Source organism: Homo sapiens, chromosome X, assembly GCF_000001405.40.
Source record: "Homo sapiens chromosome X, GRCh38.p14 Primary Assembly".
Classification (NCBI taxonomy): Eukaryota; Metazoa; Chordata; class Mammalia; order Primates; family Hominidae; genus Homo; species Homo sapiens.
In genome coordinates, this window is record NC_000023.11 from 114,646,434 (window position 1) to 114,668,752 (window position 22,319).

Consider the following 22,319-nt stretch of genomic DNA (forward strand, 5'->3'; position numbering starts at 1 on the left):
AAAATACCTCTGTCTTTTTATCCAGAAGTACAAATTTTCTAAGATATATATGTTGCTAACAGTTGTGAGGTAATATTTCACTCTGCTTTTAATTGCATTTCCTTGATGATTCGTGAGGAACATTTTTTCATAACCCTTTTGGCCATTTGTATTTCTTCTTTTGAGAAATGTCTATGCAAATATTTTCTCCCACTCTGTGGGGTGTCTCTTCACTCTGTTAATGTGCAGAAACTTTTTAGTTTGATGCAATCTCATTTGTCTATTTTTGCTTTTGTTGCCTGTGCTTTTGGGGTCATATCTAAAAAATCATTGCTGAGACTTTTCCCATATGTTTTCTTCCAGTAGTTTTACAGTTTCAAGTCTTACATGCAAGTCTTTAATCGCCTTTAAGTTGATTTTTGTATTTGATGTGAAAGATAAGGGTATAATTTCATTACACATTAATTCGCATTTCTCTGGTGATTAGAGATGATGAACATTTTTTTTCATATATCTGTTGGCCATTCATATGTCTTCTTTTGAGAACTATCTATACAGGTCATTTGCCCATTTCATTACTGCATGATCTCACTTATATGTGGAACCTGAACAAGTCAAACTCATAGAAATAGAGAGTATAATGGTGGTTCCCAGAGGCCTGAGTGGGGAGGAAGGTGAACGGGGAAAGAACAGTTGTTGGTCGAAGAGTAAAAAGTTTCACCTAGGAGGAATGGGTTCTAAGAATCTTATTGCACAGCATGAGGACTATAGTTAATAATAATGTAATGTATATTTCAAAATAGCTAAAAGAATGGATTTTAAATGTTCTCCCTACAAAAAAATGATAAGTATTTGAGGTTCTGGCTATACTAATTAGCCTGATATGATCATTCCACAATGTATACAAGTATCAAAACATCACATTGTATCCCATAAATGCATACAATTATTATTTGTCAATTAAAAATAAAACTTAAAAAATAATTTGACAACATGCTTTGATTTACATTTTCCAGCATGAAAAATGGTCTTTACATCCAATTTTAAAATCACCCTTTTAATTTTCCTCAACTTCAAATATGTATAGGTAGTTTGCTTAGCACTGTTCACTTCTCTGTTTACTATATGCCTACTGTGGGCCAGACACTGTGGCAGGTGTTAGGAACCCAAAAAAGAATGTTGTAATATTTGTTAATTAATTGCTCCTAGCCTTGTAGAGGAGAGAGATGTGCAGACAAATAATTAAAACAAAATCGTATGAATGTAATGTTAGAAATAAGCATGAGGTATACAAGTAAGCTAGAGGAAGAAATGGTTGGCACTATCAGTGCAGGCTTCACAGAGAGCATGATATCTAGCAGGACTCTGTGTAATGACTATGAGATGGCCAAGCATAAAAAGAGGTCAGAGACATTGCAGGCAGAGGACATAGCATGTGCCAAAACAGAGATGTGTGGAAACAGTACAGTCTGTATTTTGCTATTGCTATTATAGGGGAGCAGAAATATCATCACCCATCCTGTGTTAATGGCTGTACTCCCTGTAAGAAAAGACAGATTAATAAGAGAAAAGCATACAAATTTATTTAATATAAGTTTAAAATAACATGGGAAACATCATAAAGAAACGAAGACCCAAATAAATAAGTAAACCTTTTTATTTTTAGTGCTAGGTTTGGTGCAAAAGTGGATAGTAGTGGAGAAGTATGATTGGATAAAAAAGTATGATCTAATGTAATAAAACTTGAGGGAACTTAACAAGGCCTATTTGTTCAGATTCCCCTCTGTGACTCTGTATTTTCAGAGGTAAGAATGTTCCTTTCTTTTGGGTATAGGGAGTGCAGTTCTCAAATGAAGATCTTATGACTTGCTTCAGAGGAGAAGGGTGAGGGGAAAGTGAGAATGACCTTCCTGCTTCTGCTGTTTTCTTAAATGTCAAGGTGCCATGTTTTGGAATAACACGTCCTGGTCTCCATCATTATTGTACTACTACGGTCTTCTAGAAACTTCCTTTTTCCATTAAAAGTTATACAGGTCCAGGCACCGTGACTCACCTCTGTAATCCCAGCACTTTGGGAGGCCGAGGAGGGAAGATTGCTTGAGCCCAGGTGTTTAAGACCAGCCTAGGCAACATAATGAAACCCCATCTCCACAAACAATACAAAAATTAGCCAGGCATGGTGGCATGTCCCTTTAATCCCAGCTACTCAGGAAGCTGAGGTAGGAGGACTGCTTGAGCCCAACAGGTTGAGGCCGCAGTGAGCCATGATTGTGCCACTGCGCTCCAACCTGGCAACAGAGTGAGACCTTGTCTCAAAAAAGAAAGTTATGCAAATTGACAGATTGTTGGTGTCATCATCATTATTGCTTAGTCTGTGTTAGGCTCTAGTACTTTAAATAGTTTACTCCCGTATATCTCAATATATGTCATTTTTAGCTTTAGGCAAATGTTCAGAGACATGAGTGCTATATTAGCTCAGGAAAATTTTAGAAGTCTGTCCCTTAACAAATATTTCAAAATCCCCCTTTTCTGTATTGGAGTATGGAAACTAACATGTACCAAAAGTTTACTTTTGTGATAATTTATTGATTGCCTACTGTACGCTACATACGGATACTTTAACGTCAACAGATCTTGGCTCCAAGAGAACAGCAGTACATAAATTTAGATTCAGGCTTTATTTTCTCCCTTTTGCCCCCAATTATTTCATGTTTTAAGTATTTTCCACATATGATCATGACAATTATAGTACTAAATCTATAGTGTCTAATACACTTTTCAAGCACTTGGGAGGATTCTATATTTTTATTTGTCAAATTCAGCTTTTCTCAATACTATTTAAATGTTATTCAGAAGATATTAATAGTTGGGAGCAGATTTTGTTACATTTGCCTCTTGGCTGTTAATACAAACAGTAGTTTTTATTTTTGTGCTTTTTTCTTGATGATTAATTATTTTGATAATTCCCAATACAATATGGTACAGCAGGCTTTCTTTCAGTACAAAGAAACACAGTGTTTATCCTACTGTAAACACTGTTAATGCAGTTTTCTCTGAAGAATGCTTTGTGTCTTCTGAATTGGGGGACACCAGCAAGGCTTTTAGCCATAGGAACATAAGAAATTCTTGTGGTCACAGAGCAAAGGTAATCTTTCATCTTTTCTGTGTTATTTTTATTTTTATTTATTTTTGTTGTTGTTGTTTGTTTGTTTTTTAATTTTTTGATGGAGTCTTGCTCTGTCGCCCAGGCTGGAGTGAAGTGGCGTGATCTCGGCTCTCTGCAACCTCTGCCTCCCAGGTTCAAGCAATTCTCCTGGCTCAGACTCCTGAGTAGCTGGGATTACAGGCACGCATCACCACGACTGGCTAATTTTGTATTTTTAGTAGAGATGGGGTTTCACCATGTTGGCCAGGCTGGTAACGAACTCCTGACCTCAAGTGATCCGCCTGCCTTGGCCTCCGAAAGTGCTGGAATTACAGGTGTGAGCCACCGTGCCCGGCCTTTTCTCTGGTTTTGAAGATTTGTGTAGCATCACCATTCAGTCATTTCTAACTGAACAACAGGTGAGGAGTAGGAAACATAGTTTCATCCGTATACAGAATTTTGCCTGACTTCCTATGAAACAGAAATAGCATGAGCTTGACGTTTCTGTCTATTTTGACAGATCTGGAGAATGAACACAAAGTGGATAGCATAAATCTCTAATTTGACTACATTTAATGTCTAAGTCATTACTTTATTGCAAAGTACCATATGAATGAAAATTAATGTTTACTAAACAGATGAAAGGAAAATTCCCAAGTCCAATTTGCAGATCATATAGATGGTAAAAGAGGCCCCAGTTTAATGTATTAAGAGGATTCAGAAATCATTCTGAATATTAGTTGTTTAGTTGATTTTAACACATCATTCCATGCTTAAGACTGTTCAATGCCTTTCTATCTAAACTCCTTATCATTGCATACAACATGTTAATAATATGGTCCTAGGGTTTTCTCCCTAATCTCAGTCTTTAGAAATCATTTTGTCACAGTGGTTCACACTCACCTTAAAGTCATTTGTACTTGGTGTTCTCTCTGGAACACTAGTTTTCCATTTCTTCAAATGACTAGATCATCCTCATTCTTCAAGTCTCATGTCATATGTGACTGCTTGGAAGAGTTCCATCCTGATCATGCCATCCAAACTACTCACTCCCATTTCTTGTGTTGATCTGTTTTATCTTTCACAGCATTATTACTGTATACAATTTTCTTCTTTATTTGTTCTCTTCTTTATTATCTCCCTCTTTCTGCCCCATATTGTAAACTCCCTTGTAGACAGTTCCTCATCTGTCTTGTTCAGTTTGCTTTCTATTGAAGTAAGAATAATAAGTAATCAAAATAGCTACCATCCAGCTGCTCTATTGAATCTTAAATCTAGTCAGGGCTGTCGAATTGAACAGTGAGGTAGAGGCTCTTGGAAAGATTTCAAAGACACAGTAAGATGATGAAAAGATTAGAAAATAAAACCTATGAAGAGGAGAAAATGGTGACATGGGTTGCAGTATTAACTACCCCAGAATAATAATCCATTATATTTGCTCACTTCTTGCAGTTTACAGAACACTTTTGCATGTATGAACTCCGTTAGTATTTTACATGATATCTACATTTATGATTATCCCTGTTTTACAGGCATAGAAACGGAGGCTAGGGGAATTTAACTGACTTGTTCAAAGACAGATAGTTATAAGTTATTATTTATGTTTTCTCAGTTCTAAGGCCAATATTTTTTCCATGACACTACTTTTGGTTTAGTCTTCAAAGCAAATAATTTAATTTGGATGTGATGAACAAAGATGTTTAATATTAGGGATTATAAATTCTGATAAGTTATCCCAGTTGTTCCCAGATAAATTTGGAATTCCTTTTGAATAGATATTCATCTGTCTGGTATGGTTTGGAAGAGGGTAGAGGGTATGGCTAGAGGGTAAGAGACTACTTAGATATTGTCTCTTCAAGCTTTAAAATCCTATAATCTTTTGGCTAAGTTTTTGACTTTCAAAATTAATCATTTCAAATTTACTTAACATTTAAAATTTGATCAAATGATACCACCCTTTGAGCCTTCTATCACAACTGGACTTGGCTCTAGGATGTGCTCATTGCATGGGCTGTGTATAGTATTATTCAATACCCAGAGCATGCAGTGTGAACATAATAGAGATTGAAAGACAGCCAGAAGGGTAAAACATGAATTCTTAAAGAGTAATTTTGTACTTCATGTAGATTTTTTTAACTCTCCATTTTCAGCTGTTTACTAACTATGCTTCCAAATTCTATTCCACAACTGAAATTTTAAACTCACAACTTAAATTTGCATGTTGCTTCTATTATAATACATTTTTTATTCCTCTTTTATTTACATTAAAAATTTACTGAAATTTCACATGAATAGTCAAAGTTAGCTTTCAGTAGCAGTTAGAAGCATTCTTTTAATAGAACTATAAAAATACATTTGGAAGAACATTATTATGATCTTTCATCATGTTGAAATTTCTTTTGATGACACATCAGATGCTATTTACAGATGATAATTGAAATCTCCATAGTATAATTTTACCTCATGATGATATCAGTGAACATATCATCTTGTGATCAGCTAACTGGATGTTTCTTTAACCCATTTATTTAAAATTTCACATAATTTCCAGGTGTTTTCTTTTATAATGAGAATCTGTTACTTCAACAATTCTAAGTAGATCATATGTCTTTGATTTGAAATAGGAAAAAAAATTTCCTAGACTGTTAGAATGATTTTGTTTGGTTGGAAAGCTGCGTGATCTCTGCATATAATTCCAAGTATAAAATGTACTTGATGCAGTCCTGACTATATTCCTTATAATTAGAAAATTTATTTTTATTTTTTGCGTCTCCTTGCTTGTATCAGGAACCAAAACTAAACTTAGTCACCTAATAGCCAAATATTTAGAAGTACTTGTTAAGAGGCCTAGTCCAAAACATGAATAAGAAATGTTATAAGTGGAAGAAAAATAACAGAAGTTCACTTAAGTGAGAATATAAATGGAATAGAGGTGGGAAATGGATTTATATAGAAAGAAACATTTTAATACATGCTGATTAGAAATATTGCGGCATTTTCTGAAATATTATCAAACTGAAAATTATGGTCTAATAGTTTTAAAGAAAATATCATAACATATTCAACACATTGTGTTTCTCCATGCCTGGCATATAGCAGGTCCTCAATAAGTATTTGTTGAAAGAATAAATAAACCAACAAGTCTTATTTGAGCACCTGTTATGTGGAGGATACAATCCTACGACCCAGACAGACCTTATGATCTAGTATGGGAGAGAAGAAATATAAGGAGAATGCACAAGTGATCGCCATATCTGAAAGTCTGTGATAAGAATTAAAGAATTGGAAAAGGTTAGAGGAAGGCCAGATTATTTCTCATCTGGGAAACTTTTGGGGAGAAAAGAGGACTTGAGCTTGGGATTTAGTAAGAATCAAGTGCACAAAAGTATTTATTGTAGAAATTTGAGCGAATATATAAATATTATTAAATCATTATTATAAGACAGTCAATAAACTAAAACAAGAATTATATCATCAATAAATCTTGTTATAATCATCCATTCTTAACTTCATTTGCACATTACATTGATATAATATGAAATAGTCTAGGTTCCTGCAAGCCTCTTTGTCACTTAGCTTTTTTTTTCTTTACTACGTTATATAATTTATAGGCAGCGTATCCAAAATGTTTCAGTAATTACTCTGCCCATCATTTTATTCTTTGGGTTAAATTTCTAGCCTAAGTTATTAAAAATTAATTTAAATAATGAAAATAACTTCAGTTATGTCTAATTTAAAAATTCCTATTAAATATGTCAAATAATAGTTTATTTATTTTTAACCTTTTTCTTCCTGAGAAGATCAAAGATCTTAGCATATTTCTTTCTATTTCCTCCTAGGACATCTTTGTGAGGAGTAGTTGGTATCAGGAAAAGTTAATTTCATCAGGTTAGGGAGAGTGTTAGGAGAAAAGCAAACTGATTGTCCCACCCAAAATATTTATGCCTGTCTTGTAAGTGATATGCAGATCACTTTGACTCTAAGCTAGTTTTCTCATCCCCTTTTCATGCAACTTGCTTCTTACTGACTTTGCCATTTATCAGACAGAACCTTATTATGTGCATTCTCCTCCTATTTTCCCTCCTCTCCCTCCTGTTTCTCCTTGTTCATCTTTCTTCTTTATTAAGTGTACAAGGATTATGCAGGCTTTGTTCACCATTCTATATCTAGCTACAAACACTTTCTATAGGGTTGAATTGGAATCCATATAAATGTTTGCTGAATAAAGTAATAGCCACCCGCTTTGGAAAAGTCAGCCCATTTAAATATACTAATCTAAGAAAATCAGTATAGGAAGATTAATCTGACTTCTGAATGTACATAGTGCATACTAAAATAAAATGTGGTCAGCTTTTATTTTATTCACTCTTTTGCAATATTTCTGCTACTACGCTGCAGAACCTTGTCTGTCTCATACTCCTTCAGCACTTATTAGGTGTGTAATCTTGAGCCAGTGAATTAACCTTCCTGAGCCTTTAGATATAATACGAGACTAATAATATCTTGTCTATCTGAAGACAGTAAAATGGATTAGAAAGTCTATTGATCCAACTTATGATAAATGAAGATGTGAATAAAATTTTTAAAAATTGATTTATGAAAATTATACTGTTTTCTGCTCTTTGCTTATTAGTTACTGTAACTAATTCCTCATGAGATTCCAAAACCCCTTAACTTAAAAAACAATAAAATAATAGATGTATGTGTGTATATGTGTATATATGTATATATACTCATATATATATAACATATATATCATATATATAATTTTTTCGCTAAAAACTCATGGTACCTACCTAGTAATGGTGATTATTATCATCAGTTAGAAGTGTGTAATTCATGAAATTTCTAAAAACAAATTCAAATCAAAAGCTTTGGTATGCATATTTAATGATATATTTTGAAGAGTTAAAGCTTACGTAACCATCACCAGTGTCCTTTCAATTGCCATAATTGTAGAATAATTTTTTATTGGTTGGCTGTTTTTCTTTTTTTTTTACTGGCACTGAAACTTTACCCCACATTGTTCTTTTATTCATTAACTAAAGTTGTACCCTAATACTTGGTTCTGTACTAGGAGCTGCAGATACAGCAATGAATAAGACACAATCCCTCCCTTCAAAGAGATAACATTTTATTGGGAGAAGTAGGCAATAGAGCAGACAATTAATATACTGTGTTGAAGTGCTATAGCAAGAATGAGCTCAGGATACATTGTGAACACATGAAAGTTCTCCGAACCCAGCTAGAAGGTAGAGGAGTCAGTCAGGGAAAGCTTCCTAGAGGAGGTGATGTCAGTATTGTATTTCTCCTGCCTATACATGTCCTTCCCAAGGAGGTTGAAATGCAAATTATTTAAACATTTAGTATCTAAGTGAGATATACAGTAAAAATTTATCATTTGGTTATACTGGCTACTTAATGTTTAGTACTAAATGAAACTACAAAACACATTACCAGGACTAGAGGTGGGGTAGAAAAGAAAAAAAAAAAAAGCCATACCAAGAATGAAGAGGCAGTTTTCACAAACCTGCCAAGTAAAGAATAAGGTATGATTAGGAATCAGATGCTTACTAGTAGACTTCCTGGAGACTAAGAATCAGAAGGCTGAATGGAATTTAGGTGACAATGCTGAAGATTTTTCTAAGAGGGTGATGTATTTAGGTTAAGTAACAAACATGACAGTTAATTTGAGTTGTGTGCTTTAGGTTGTTCATAGAACTGAGAAACTGGGATCAGACCAAGTTACCATGGCACTATTTCTGTTTTAAATGGTCTGGTAAACCACCTGTCTAATCTATTAGTCAAAATGTGCTGATATGTTGTAGTGATTACCTTATTATCTATTCCTAATAATACTCCTACAATGTGTTTTCAGCCCATATTGGAGTATGGCTAATGCACTATGTTAATATTCTTTTGCTAGATATGTTCATTTTAAAGTTGTCAATTACTTTTTGTTGTTCCTCAAGTTCTTGTGTATTTTTGGCACATGCCATTTAAGTGTATTTTTTTACTATATTTTATGAAAATAATTTTACAGCTACCTCATGTATCAGCCCAAAATGTTAGTAAATGACTTGTCTTCCTACAACTCTGGATGAGATATATCTATATCTGCCTTTTAGGGGCTGGTGGGGCTACACACTGTAGAATTCTTTTCTACCTCTTAAATTCCATTGGCTTGATTGGATTCCTTCGGAACATATTATACCTTCTTGAGTTTTGTGTAAAACTCTACCCTTCTGATTTTACCTGTTAATTAAGTTTACAAGAATGACTTGCTGAATCATGGCACATTTATTTTGATTATTCCCATCCTGGCTTTCTTCATATTTCCATTATCATTTCAAATATGCATTTAATTTTTGCTTGCATGGTAATTTCAGCCAACTTACCTTCATTTAGGTCAGTTTGTACAAGAAAATTAATTATCTTATTGTTTCATCCACTGGATTGATTTCTGCTACTGTATATACAAGCCAATAGTTTGTTCTTTTCTTTTGGTGCCTTCTGTAAAACTGGGGACCATTGTCAATTAATTGATGGCTCACAGATTTCTTTCTGACCTCTATTACCTTTTCTGAACTTCTTGTATCACAGAATCACCTATCATTTTATTGTGTTCACTTTGTTGGCTTAGATGATTTATTGTCTCACTACTAATTATATAACTAGGGAAATTAGAGATGGAAAGATTAATGTAATCTTCCAACTTCTTTTTGTGCTGTCTGCACTTATATTTTTCTTAGAGTATTGCTTCAACATGAAGAAAAAGAATGCTCATTTAATCACCCATCCATCCAATTTTTAATTTATTTTTTAACTCTCAGTACAATACTTCACACAAAGTTGGTTACAAATGAATGAATATATCAATTTGTTTCTTAATGCAATAAAAGTCCTGCTTTCAAGGAGTCAGGTTCTGCTTTTGCTTTACCTATAACTCTCTATAGTCTAAAAAGGAAGGAGAAATGGAGTGAGAAACAGAAATAGAGAGTTTTTAATCCAGAGAGACAGAGAGTCTTTTTAAATGCAGTATTGCTTAGAAAGAGCTTACTAAGGTAAACTCAAGTCTCAGGTAATTTTTTTTTCTGGAATAGGTTTTATTTTGTGCAAAAATTGTCAAATATAAAAGTAGTTTATGTCTGAATTTGCCATCGATTATCATAGACTTTACACAGAAACCTTCTCATGGAAGATGAATGAATTTTTCTGAAATCACTTTTAAATGTAGCCAATTTGTATCAGATCCTATAACATGAATGTTAACACTGAAGATTTCATTTCACTTCAATCTTAGCCAAAAGACATATTGACCTAGAAAAGGACATATGTGAAAAAAAAACTAAAAATATTAAATATGCTTGCATCATGTCTAACTTGGCAAAGCAAATGTATAATTTATCTTAGAAATAAATATTATATAACAGAGTAATAAATAATGTTTACAGTGGGAAGCAGTCTTATCTTCAAAAACAACTTTTCTAGTTGTGATTATAAAACAATCTTGCAAATAAAGAAGTGCAGCTCAATGAAATGTAAAAGCATGCCACTTCAACATAATTTAGCTAGTTGCTTTATCTTGACACATTTCTTGATTTTCATGATATTAGTGTAAAATATAAATATTTTCATACATTTTCCATAACCCGATTGCTCTTTCTTTCCAAAATAATGATGAAATGGAACAAGAAAAAATTGTCTCCCAGCAAATATTTAGACATGTGACATTTTATGTTTTTAAAGGTCATTGATATTTTAGGGTATTTATCTTAACTACTTAATATTTTTAATTGCTTGAATTGCCTTCAGAAGGTGACTACTTTTCTATTTGGTTGCATACATGGAACCCACAATAATAATATGTATGAAAATTTTCCTCTTTATAAATAATTCATGCAAATTCAACAATACACCCTGAAAAGTAAATATTTATCACCTGCGTGTAATATGGAAAACATTTAGTGTTATTAAGAAGTAACCGATTGCAATGAATAGAAGAAATCTGTTTTAATGTGGTAAGTCTACCTCCCTTAAGATACAGTTTGTCTAGGGCAGCTGTGAATTTGTTCCTATACTTCATGGCCCACCTAATCAAATTCTTCAAGAGAGGTAATTATCTTTTTATTCTCATTTTTTTATATATATTTTTTATTATGCTTTAAGTTTTAGGGTACTTGTGCACAACGTGCAGGTTAGTTACATATGTATTATTCTCATTTTTTTAAGGTTCACAACTTCCATGATGGAAATAGATTATTAGTAACTATAACTCCTGAAGAACAAGCCAATATTTTGTTGTTGTTGTTTTTCTGTGTCTTCTGTAAAACTATTAATCTCGGTCAATTAATTTATGGTTTGGGAGGCAGTCAGTCATGTCATGAAGACCTAATCTATCTAGAATAAAAAAACAAGATGCCCAGGCTTAAAATTTCTTTGTTACAATATAATAGCATTTCTGTAAATAGTAATTTTATTTTTAGAGGAAGAGTAAAACAATTTTTTTTTGTTTGTTTGTTTGTTTTGGTTTCTCCATGATCCTTGCATTAGATTTTACATTTAATTTAACTTATTTTAATTTTTATCTACATTTGCTCTTGTTAATAAATACTTTTAAACAAGTACAACAAATAAAATTCCAGAATTGATCACTTTTATTATTGCAAAAGATAATCTTTCATCTTGAATATTTATGAATTATCATATTCCCTTCTAACAAGGATAGCAATGACAGTTTCTAATCCTAAATGACTGATACAATTAATTAACCTGTGAAATATAAAATGCTAAAGGAACAAGTCAAGAGAATATATAGAAGTATGAAATCCAAACTAAAATTGTTTTTATCTTTTAGTTTGGAAATATACAGGAAATTGCTGAGTTCTGTCTCTATCACCAGATAGCCAAAGTAGAATTTTAGTATGTGCTCATGGAATGGTGGGTGGATCGATGAAGATTATCAGGAATATTGGAGGGTTTCTATTTTATCTCTTGTGGTATGGCATAAATGGTGAAGCATTAAGGTATGAAAATGTCTACCTTGTACTCTCCCATAGTAAATATGATAAGCTATGAAATCTTGAAGTGGAAATATCCACAACTCTACAGAAATATAAATAATTGAATCAGCAGATAAAGGGGGGAGAGGAGGGATAACTCTGCCATACAGAAAAATTCCAGTTTATAAATGTGGACACAATTAGGGAAATACAAAATCATCATCAGGCAAACACACAGTAACCATTGTTGTTTCAGGCCAAGTCCACTAATATGTGCTAAAATAAGGGGGGCAAAAGTTTTAGGATAAACAGGGTATTAACATAGTTTCAAAATATCTCCCTCAAGTTATCTATTTGGTTACTGTATTAGTTTGTTCTCATGCTGCTAATAAAGACAAACCCAAGACTGGGTAATTTATAAAGGAGAGAGGTTTAATTGACTCAGTTCCACATGGCTGGGGAGGCCTCAGGAAACTTACAATCATGGTGGAAAGGGAAGCAAACATGTCCTTCTTCACGTGCTGGCAGGAGAGAGAAGTGCAGAGCGAAAAGGGGAAAAGCCCCTTAAAAAACTATCAGATCTTGTGAGAACTCACTCACTATCACGAGAACAGCAACATGGGGGTAACTACCCCTATGATTCAGTTACCTCCCACCGGATCCCTCCCACAACACAGGGATTATGGGAACTACAATTCAAGATGAGATTTGGGTAGGGATACAGACAAACCATATCAATTACAAAGAGGCTAATGTAGCATCATAGAAGAATAATCAGCAGACTTCACTTTAACCAAGTAATCAAGGTTATAACAGTGACAGTTTTTATGCTCATCCCATCTCCTCACCATCATATAATGCATTGAGAAGAACACAGCATCACTTCTGTAGTATTCTTGCCCCTGCAAAAAAGAATAACTTCAGTCTAATCATCAGACAAACCCAAACTGAAACATTATACAAAATAATTGGCCAGTACTCATTAAAAAATCAAGGTTATGAAATACAAGGTAAGGCTGCCAAACTGTCAAACGTTGGAAGAGATTAAGGAGAAACAACAACTAACTACAATATAGGACAGCTATATACAATATAGTCAACATTCAGGAGAAACAACAACTAAATACAATATAGTCAATATATTGTAATATATTGACTAGAAATATAATATAGGATCCTGGAATGAATACTGGACTAGAAAAAAAACTGATGAAATTCAAGTGAGGTTTATAGTTTAGTTGATAGTTATCTTCCAATGATAATTTCCTCATTTTGATCATTTGTTTATGATTATATAAGATACTTGGGGAACTGAGTGAAGAGTGTACAGGTACTCTCCACCATTTTTACAATTTTTCTCTAAGTCCAAAATTATTTTAAAATAAGAAGTAAATAAGCAAACAAACAAAAAGGCAGAAATACTGTCTGCACCTTCCATGACACAGGCTTTATCAAGTGATATGATGAATTTGGATGTTATATAGATAAGAAGTGAATTTACACATGTAGTAAAATCGGTGTATCTATTTAATGGACTTTTTAACCACATGTCGGTATCTTTAACGCCACAGATATACAGTGAGATCATAATAACCAGTATGTCAGCTTGAAGAATAGGAACATATAGTTTTATCTTCTAAGATTCAAATTATTATTCATGATTTGTTTAAAGCAAATCAAGGCTGAGTTTGTAACTCTGGAATTTTTAACTTACAGATTCTCTTACTCATTCCTGTCTTCCAAACATAAAACATTTTTATTTCCCTGTCAATTCATTATTAGGAGAAACAAGAATCTTGAAAAAGTCTTTCCTATGCATCCAGCAATAAATGTATTCTACTCCACCATGGACTGTTTATTGACTTTATTACAAGTCCATTATCTGTTTTCATTTTTACTTCTCCAAAATTGCTAATTAGAACACAACACAACCATTTGCATCCATAGAAAATTTGCGTTTACACGATTATCTCTAAATGGTATTATTTCCATTGAGTTGTATTTCTTTGTGACTTTCCAATCCATATTTTACTAATTCATTTTGTGCATAAAATTGCACATGATTTTTAAATTACTATTACTACATTTTACTTTATTTTAAACTTAACCTTTAATATTGCACACTGAGAATCCTTATAATAGATTTGAAGTACAATGCCCTTTTTAGGATTTCTATGTGTTTGAAATTACATGTATCAGTGAATAAGGTATACTGTCAAATACTTAATACCTTAAGAAGTCATTAATGTTACCAAATTATAGTGAATGGTGCTATATTATATTTTGAACGTTTGTGGCCTCTAAACCGGTAGCAAGTCTCTTTTAGATAATTTTGTAAACCCCAAAGTTGTGTATTCTATTTAAGATTATTTATACACTCATGTATTGATTGAGATATCTCTGCAAATATGGTTCATTTAGGATGGATCTTGTTAGTTATTAGAAGTTAATAGTCAAATAAGTATTCCCCTCCCCTAAGCTTCCAGGCTAACTCATGTCTCCCTAACTTTGGCCACAGGCCCAAGCAAGCATCTATTTTTAAAGTGACCCTGGAAGTATGTTTCTTGCCTTCGGAAGTAGAGTGATGCATTATCTGGTTTGAGTGGAAAAGTTGGCCGGGCGCGGTGGCCCACGCCTGTAATCCCAGCACTTTGGGAGGCCGAGAAGGGTGGATCACAAGGTCAGGAGATCGAGACCATCCTGGCTAACACAGTGAAACCCCGTCTCTACTAAAAATACCGCCGTGGTGGTGGGCGCCTCTAGTCCCAGCTACTCGGGAGGCTGAGGCCACGTAAATACACAATAATTGTTTTGCTAATTAGTTTGAACACTATGAATGAATTTGTAAAAAAAAAAACTATAATATCCAATAAACCATTCCAAAAAGGAACACGTTTTAAGGGAAATGATTGTATATATGTTATGAGGTAAAATTTATTTTTACTCCAGAATGTCAGCTAGTAATGACACCTGGCTAATTTTCGTATTTTTAGTAGAGATGGGGTTTCACCATGTTGGCCAGGCTGGTCTCAAACTCCTGACCTCAAGTGATCCACCTGCGTCAGCCTCCCAAAGTGCTGGGATTACAGCCCTGAGCCACCGTGCCTGGCCTGGAAATCTATAAATAATTATTTTGGCACCTATCCATCTGCATTCTGACCTCCTTTTGGCGTCCAGAGATCTCAAATCCTTGAGCATTTCAGGGACCACTACTGTGTAATACCCAACTGTGGTTTTGTTCTTGACTTTCATTTAAATCTGCCATGAAAACACACATAACAAGCAAGTCTTACGTTTCCTAGGTCCCACTATTTTAAGGTTTAATTTGCAAATTAACTTCCAAAGCTATATTATTCTACTTGTTAGCCCTTTCAAATAGAATCTTGCTGCCAACTGGTTAGCCATTTCAAAGTCTTTAAACATGTGCAATACATTTGTATGTATTACACAGTCAATATGTTATTTCATTCTACGTTGATTGCTCTCTATTGGCAATTGTCTTTTTATTTGGGGCTAAAACAAATGCTGAAGTAAAATAATGGCAGAGTTTTTCAATATTCGGTAGGAATACAAAATGAAAAGGCTGCCTTTTTTAAATAACCAATCGCTTAAGTACTTCATGTAATACTTCTTAATTTCACACTTATAAGAGAATGTTTATACAGGTATAGGGTTACTGAATATTTCACTTAATTTTTTTATAATGATATTATTATTATAAAATTACATGGTGTTTCTTTTACTGGAAGAAACTATAAAATTCAGTAAACTCCTCTAAACTTCAGTTAATTTCTTTCATATGCAAATACATTCACAACTTTAAATCTATTTGAAGTAATTTAGTTCTACAGTATGTTGTGTTTCTCTGTTTACCTACCAACACACACACACCAAGATGCAGATCACAAACACAGAAAAAGAAATTGTTCCCTTGATTTAGGACTTGAAATATAATCAAGCCTTAAGATGAATAAATTATTTGAAAATATCCTCTAGGTATTTGCACATATAATATATCCCAAGGGTTTTACAATACAATGAAATATACTTTTTTTCTAAATGACTGTGCAGACACATGCAGAATCCATTATGCATTAAAGGGACCAATAACTTCTCCTTTCACTGATAATAATTCATGTAGTGTTATAAACAATGCTAATCTTGCCAGGAGATGGCTTCTTATTCATTTTGAAATTATCAGTGAATCAGACAATATATCTATTTCATGTTGTAAATAAATGAGGAAACATAGAGTAAGGGGAAAAATAATCCTAAAATAAAATGTATACAATAGTATTGCCCTTGATTTTAAAGTACTTGTGTAAGTAACAGAAAATCATGATGTCTAATGTAAATGTCCCAAGTTTTAGAAGAGTGGCTAAATCCATTGACAGAGTACTCAATGCTGTATAACAGAGAAAGAAATAGGTGTATTTAGGTGTATTATTGTAAACAGGTGTATTTTTATAAGTAACGTGCTAATCATGGATTTGCTTGATGGAATCTATTCCAAAGAACCCAACTTAGTTCTTGAAGTGCCGTAGGTCTCACCTTCCCAATTAGATTGTAAGCTCTCCTTCATCAACTATTACCTCTTTTTTTTTGTTTGTTTGTATCTCCCATAGTACCTAGAACTGTACTGATTCTTAATCAGTAGTCAACAATTGCCTATAGAACCTAATGAAATACTTAGTGTATTCGTTCCAGCAACATGTTCAGCACTGTTTCATTGAGGAGAGGGGATAATAAGCAGGATGGTATGATAGGAAATATGCATTGACCTGGATTTTTAAATGAAAAATGAAATAAATTAAAATATTAAAACTTAAATGTTAAAAATCTCTATATAGGATTATAGTCACATGACTTATGAAGCTTTGAGCAAAAATATGCCAAGAAGGAAATCATAACTAACTGGCATTTATTCTTGCAAAGTAAAAAATTAAAAAGCTTTCAAACAAACAAAAACCAAATACACACTTGATAAAAATTATTTTTATCTCCCTATAAAGGTTTTTGTTTTACTTTTGTTTTTGGTGGATTGATTTTATATGATGCTAAGAGCTCTGAAACAGCAGGGCTGTTTTCCAAATTTAGCCCCCACTAAGTGAGGGAAATGCATTTCCAACTCTATGTTTGCTTTTAATTATTTATTTACCAGGTTGCCCTTTCTCCAGAGGTAGTAAATCCACTTACCTTTTATGCATTTTTGTCTCTTGAACTGAAAGTATAGGTAGGATCTTTGTCTCAGCAAGAAGAGGAAATAGACTAGACTGCGGGGGTGAGGGCAGTGCAGGCAATCTCGTAATGTGTTAATAGTAACCAGCAGGAATAATTCTGACTAGATCATTTCCACTAAATAGTTTAGTTTGTGAAGAAGACTGACAGGATCATTTCCACTAAATAGTTTAGTTTGTGAAGAAGACTGACAGGAGTGAAGGCTCAGAAGATTATTTGGAAAAGACCAGTGCTTTGCATCTGGTGAAAGTCCCAGCAAATCATGGTATCAGTGAGGACTATACTAGGTGTCTCTTTTTCCATCTGACATATACCCGTGCAAAGTTTTAAGATTCAGCAGTAAAGCTTTTATTCTCCTACCACAATCACTATGGCTGCCACTGGTTGTGAAAATCACCTCATTTTATTGTTTTTTTCTTCAACTTTTATTTTTAAGCTCTAGGGTACATGTGCAGGATTTGCAAGTTTGTTACATATGCAAATATGTGCTATGGTGGTTTGCCGCATAGATCAACCCATCACCTAGGTATTAAGCCCAGCATGCACTAGCTATTCTTCCTGATGCTTTCCCTCCTCCTTCCCCACCTCCAGACTCCAGTGTGTGTTGTTTCCACCCATGTGTCCATGTGTTCTCATCTTTCAGCTCCCACTTATAAGTGAGAACATGCAGTGTTTTGGTTTTCTGTATCTGCATTAGTTTGCTGAGGATAACGGCTTCAAGCTCCATCCATGTCCCTGCCAAGAACATGATCTCATTCCTTTTTATGGCTTCATAGTATTCCATGGTGTCTATGTACCACATTTGCTTTATCTAGTCTATCATTGACGGGCATTTATGTTGATTCCATGTCTTTGCTATTATGGATAGTGCTACAGCAGACATATGTGTGCATGTGTCTTTATAATAGAACAATCTGTATTCATTTGGGTATATACCCAGTAATGGGATTGCTGGGCCAAAGGGGATTTCTGTCCCTAGGCCTTTGAGGAATTGCCACACTGTCTTCCACAATGACTGAACTAATTAACATTCCCACCAGCAGAATCACTTTATCCAAGTGCTTCAAGCTGTTCTGTAACTTAAGGTGGAATTTTCGACAATGTCAAAATTACTCAGTTTCATACTGTTGATGTTCATGTAAATTTTTGGTTAATTTTTTAACAGCTTGTTTGAGATATCAAAAGACAGAATTATAACTAATTTAGTTCTAGATCTAATTGACTTTCCTTCTCATTCATGTATCGCAAATAGAACAAGCACTCCCACTGTGCAATGGCAGAACAGTGAGTTTCATAAGGGGGTACAAGGTAACAGAACAATAGAAAAAAAACTGATTGGTTAACGTCAGCTTGCTTCAGGTTACTTTTTTTTGGTAAGGGTTTAAGCAGAGGAGACCTCCTTATTACACTGACTCAGGTAGGATTGGAAGTATCCTGTTTTCAGGAAAAACTGATCTGTTTCAGGATCTGTCTGCTTCCTTAGAGTTTCAATTTGATTATTTGGCCTTTGGCATGATTGCCTCCATTTTTGTTCGATCTGCTCTTTAGGGCCAACTGTAGTAGCTAAATCCAAAACAATGGACTGGCATAATTTTTGTTTAACAGAGTTATAATTTAAATACAGTTGGCCCTTGAACAACGTGGGTGTTCAGGGTAATGAACCCTGTGCAGTTGAAAATCTGCATATAACTTTTGACATCACAAAACCTTAACTACTAATAGCCTATTGTGAAGAGTTACTGATATTATAAACAGTTGATTAACAAATGTTTTCTATGTTATATGTATTATGTACTGGATTCTTACAATAAAGTAAGCTAGGGAAAAGAAAATGTTATTAAGAAAATCATAAGGAAAAGAAAATATATTTGCTATTCATTAAGTGGAAGTGGATCGTCATAAAGGTCTTCATTCTCATCATCTTTTCATTGAGTGGGCTGAGGAGGAGGAGGAAGAGAAGGAGTTGGTCTCGCTGTCTCAGGGGTGGCAGAGGTAGAAACAGTGGAGGAAGTGGAAGGGGAGGCAGGAACACTTGGTGTAACTTTTTCTGAAACAAAATCTGTGCATAAGTGGACTTGAGCAGTTCAAACCCATGTTATTCAAGGATCAACTGTATTTGGTTAGTTGCTGATATGTCTTCTTTTTCGCAGGTATACCCTTGTAGGAAATTAAAGCCCACTTTCTCCATTATTATCTCTTTAAGAGAGGTTTTTCTTCTTAAAATTTATTTTTTATCTCTCTGATATGATACTGCCTCTCTTCCATCTTTATCATTTGCAACCAAATTATATCTAGAACCAGAACCTGTTTATGAAAAGATGTGCCTTCTCACTTCGTGCTGCTGAAGAAAGATCCACAGTGATAGTAGAGAAAGCAACATATTAGCTGCTAAAAAGATTGCAAACATAAACTACAATTGTAAATTTTGAAGTCAACTATGTTCTGAGCTTGATTTCTTTGCTTCAACTGTCTGTATGAAATGGAATAAATACAGCTAACCAACCTTCAGGGATAGTTTTGAGGAATGTTGTGAAAAATAATAAGGTGCAATCGTCACAAAAATAATTTTCTAGAAAAACTGAATTGAAAATCAACCTGAGTATTTAAGATACAGTTTTAAAAAACTATGAGAACAACCTTTCTTTCTAAAACTTAATTATCTTATTTTTCTTTATGATTATCTAATTTTGTCATATTAATGTTGTCAAGGTGCCATATTATGTACAATGAATAGAGAACTTGAGTTCTGAGCAAAAGTTACATTTTAGATTTTGTAATAACATTGAGAAGATTCAAGATAATGAGCTTTGTGTTTGGTTATTTATGTAAGTAGTTGAACACTCACTTTTTTTTCTTTCTTGACTTGATTTTTAAGGCCATTTATATTAGATCTTCCCTAATTCATACATATGACTTTTTTCTTTTAGGTATAATCCATTGTATAGTCACTTTTAAGATGTTTTGAAAATTAAAAATATTTTAAATTCAATAAATAGCAATATTGGATCTTTAAATTCAATAGGGAAATCTCAGGAAATGTACTGTAAGTTACTTCCCTATGCTTGTCTTGAATAATCTTTTAATTTTATTTTTAGTTAAAAAATTACTTAGCAACTGTAGCAGTGACATAGGTAACAGAACTGCCTTACAAACAACCTTGCATTATATTCATTTTCTACTATATTTTTTAACATCCTGTAGTCTATGAATTATCAGAATCATTGACCTCTTAATCATTTGTTTGCTTCTTGAATTTTAAGGGAACTCTGGGCACTATCAAAATGAGGGAAACATAATATCACATTCTAAGGACCTTACTATATTCAAACCTATAAGCAACAAATTTAAGTACTAGATTATAGGCTAATCTTAAAAACTATTTTTTATAGTATCAGTTGTTTTTTTAACAAAAAATACCTTAGAGAAAAACAATAAAAATTAATTATTTATGCAGAGCTCTAATTTTATTCTCTGTAACAGGATGCTTGGTTTCTGTCTTATTGTTTCCCTGAGACATCAAAAACAGGACTTAAATAAATTTTCGAAAAGAGGGTTTCTATAGTTACGTGTTTTTGTTTGTTTTTTAGTATTGGGTACTAGATACATTACGTACTTGTAATCTGACATAAACAATTTAATTATCATTAGCTTATTGTATCTTTGCTGTTGATCAACTCAACACTCAAAGCTTACTCTTCGCTACCAGTGTCTTACAAAATATGTACTGACTATATTTTGAGAAGCCTAAAATAAATGACAAAAGTACTAATTTGCTGAACTTTGGAAGTGTATGAGAATGTTTAAGCGATTTATGACATGTTGAGGCTATGGAAGGTAGAATGGAAGATGTGGAACTGGGTGACATTGAAGTAACATGTAAAATGATTTCTAGGAAGCCAAGGAACTAAATTGTACTCAACTAGTTTTTCCTGTGAGCCCAGATTGTGCACAGACCCTCTTCCAAACGTGTTTCACAAATCCAAGGCAGTTATAGAAGAAGTAAGAATGTGTGTCCTGATTATGAGCCAGAAACATGACCTTTACTGAAAGGCAATGATATATTTATTAACTATTTAAACATTTCTAGAAATCTACAGACTCATTTAATGCTTGCATTAAAGTTATTTTAACAAAATCCACTTACATACTTTCTTCTTATGTATGGTAAAAATTACTTTCCTCTAAACATGGTAAAAATTATCACCTGTATCTGCCCATGTCTTGGAAGAGAAAGTACATACAAAAAAATCTGTTTCATTGATATTGAAGGACAATATATGTATGTATCTACAACACAAATATACCTTTGATTTACTAAGCCAAGTAAAAAATGGAAGTGTTTGGGTATAATAGACTCTCAATGACAAGTCCTGCCACTTTTTCTTTCTTAGCACGTCTTCCTTTGTAGACTATATTGTTTCTAAAGTGAGACTATTTATGAGTTTATCCTCCTAGCATAGATGCCTGATCTGTTCTCCTTTTAGCTTGAAACTATTTCAGTAAGAGCTTTACACAATAGGCTTGAGGGCACTTTAAGAACATGTCTTAAGAATATTTGAAATTAATGACTAATCATCCCAATTCAATAGGACAAATATTCTGATCTACATTTGTGCATCACCCACACATTTTTGTTTTAAAATTTTTATTTAGCTCTTAGAGATGCTGTGAGGGAAGCCATCCTCCAAAGCTCCAAAATTCTATAATTATTTTTAAAATTGTATTTATGGCTAGGTATAAATTCAAGATAAGTGGGTGTAGAACCTGAAAAAGCATAGATGGGGAAGTAAAAATAGGTATTACAGTATGTGCCCCAATAAGTAAACTCTACTCCATATATTATCCTCTTGCATATTCTTTAAATCTGGTGTTACCAAAATGGGAACCAAGAATTATTTTTTTTACCTGTAATATTTCATAAACATGCTCTTACATAACCCTCCTGCTTTGGAGGA

General features: G+C 33.5%; 1 protein-coding gene and 2 non-coding genes across 5 annotated transcripts in view; all 3 read left to right on the forward strand.

Annotated features, from left to right (window-relative positions):
• HTR2C (5-hydroxytryptamine receptor 2C) overlaps positions 1–22,319 on the forward strand; it is a 325,976-nt gene that overhangs the window by 62,348 nt on the left and 241,309 nt on the right. The gene's annotated exons all lie outside the window — the stretch shown is intronic.
• MIR1912 (microRNA 1912) lies at positions 5,111–5,190 on the forward strand. The gene has a single exon (NR_031733.1). It is a non-coding gene; the product is annotated as a microRNA 1912 (primary transcript).
• Positions 6,222–6,290, forward strand: MIR1264 (microRNA 1264). Its single transcript, NR_031563.1, has one exon. It is a non-coding gene; the product is annotated as a microRNA 1264 (primary transcript).